The sequence below is a fragment of the Homo sapiens genome, chromosome 1 (assembly GCF_000001405.40).
Source record: "Homo sapiens chromosome 1, GRCh38.p14 Primary Assembly".
NCBI lineage: Eukaryota > Metazoa > Chordata > Mammalia > Primates > Hominidae > Homo > Homo sapiens.
This window is the reverse complement of record NC_000001.11, coordinates 18,598,921-18,600,691: the sequence shown is the minus strand read 5'-3', so window position 1 is coordinate 18,600,691 and position 1,771 is coordinate 18,598,921. Positions and strand designations below refer to the sequence as shown.

The window sequence follows — 1,771 nt, the reverse complement described above, 5'->3', positions numbered from 1 at the left end:
ATTACAGGCATGCGCCACCACGCCCGGCTAGTTTTGTATTTTTAGTAGAGTTTGGGTTTCACCATGTTGGCTAGGCTGTTCTTGAACTCCTGACCTCAGGTGATCTGCCCGCCTCAGCCTCCCAAGGTGCTGGGATTACAGGCGTGAGCCACCACGCCCAGCCATGCTTGCATTTTAACCAGTGCTGCTGGCTCTGAAAGGGCCTGCCAAGGTGAGGGGAGAGCTGCGAGCTGCGTCTCCTGGGACCTAGGGCGCCCCAGACTTCCAATCCAGTGCTCACTCAGCGCACCCTACTTGGGATTTCTTCCAAGGGGGAGGTAAGGATTGTTAAAAAATTGAAAGATCCCTTTGGGGACCACTACTCCACTCTTCTGCTTCTCTAGGAAAATATGGCCCAGAGACATCACGTGGGTACCCCAAGACCACACAGTGAGTTTATAGCTGAGCTGGGATCTGAAGCTAGGTTTGCTGAATCCCAGTCCGAGAGGTGTGCCCCTCTGTGATCTCAGGGCTTAAAGTTTAGTTAAAAAATTGTTTCTTTCTGGAGGCTAGAGCTCATTTTTTTTTTTTTTAATTTTGAGGCCAAAGTTCATTCCATCAGAGGTGTTGCAGTGTGGTGGGGAGGAGTCTTGCGGTGAGAAACAGGTAGATGCTGCTGCAGTGGAAACCGAGGAAGTGCGAGAATGTGCGTCCTCCACATGTCTGTCCTCGAAGCCTGTCCTGCTCCAACAAGGGGACCCCAAGAACAGCATTTAGTGGCGGCCTAGCACCTGAAGTCCTCGGATCCACCACCAGGTTTGCTGTGTGACCTTGGGGAAACGTCTTCCCCAGTCTGGGCTGTGGTTGGGAAGAATCCTTCTCCCTTGTTATTGAGGACCAGTGAGGCCATCAGTCTTCTCTGCCAGAGAAAGACGCTGGGGACATGCTCCCCTCAGCACCCAGGATTGGGAAAACTGCAAGAGGCAGAGGGAGTGGTGCCAGCCCACCTGCCTGTGTAGGAATCTTGGCTCCTTCTGTCCAGCTCTGTCTCCCCTGGCCCTTCTCTGTGGCTTCTGGTCTTCACTGCCCTGGTTGTACACGCCGCCCCCACCCCTCTCTCCCTGTCTTTTGTCTCTCTGTTTTTTTTTTTTTTTTTTTTTTACTCTCCCTTCCCTCTCCTTCTCTCCCTCCCTCTTCCCTCTCCCTGGCCACCTCCTTCTCCCCCTTCCCCTCCCCTTCTCTCTTTCCCTTTCACTGTTTATCCCGGATCCTCTTTTCCTGCAGGGACACTCTGGAAAGCCCTGGCTCCAAACCAGTGTGATTCTAATCTTCCCAGCAGACTGTCTAAAATGTAATTTACGAGCAAGGCTCTCCCGGCTTCTCCATCCTGCAGCCTGGGCAGGACTCCCAGCCAGTGAATGGGCTGGGGAGCGGGAGTGGGGCTGGGGCCAGCCTCGCTGGGTCATCTCCCATTCTGCTCTATCTGCCCATCAGCTGGGGGAACGGGCCCAAACCCGGGGAAGCTTTTCACTTGGAACCGACTTCAGTTCCGGGTTCATGGAAGGCAGTTGGCCCCGATGCAGCAACAGATTGCCGTTTGCTGTGGACTCTGCAAAACCTTGCGGCAGGAGAGACCTCTTGGAGGCCATGACATTAGGCCAGGACATTTGCGCATTCATTAACTCATGTTACTGTACACTTTCTATGCATCACACAGTCCTGGGAGCTGAGGTTGTAGTGCCGAGCACAGAGACCAGTTCCTGTTCTTTTGAAGCTAGCAGTTTGGTGGAAG

General features: G+C 53.6%; 1 annotated feature.

Moving 5' to 3' along the window:
• Positions 940–1,469: an enhancer, noted in NCBI's record as "H3K4me1 hESC enhancer chr1:18925717-18926246 (GRCh37/hg19 assembly coordinates)". NCBI's record gives its function as "activates a minimal SCP1, AML or CMV promoter by ChIP-STARR-seq in primed H9 embryonic stem cells {active_cell/tissue: H9 hESC(primed)}" and the evidence as "EXISTENCE:reporter gene assay evidence [ECO:0000049][PMID:30033119]".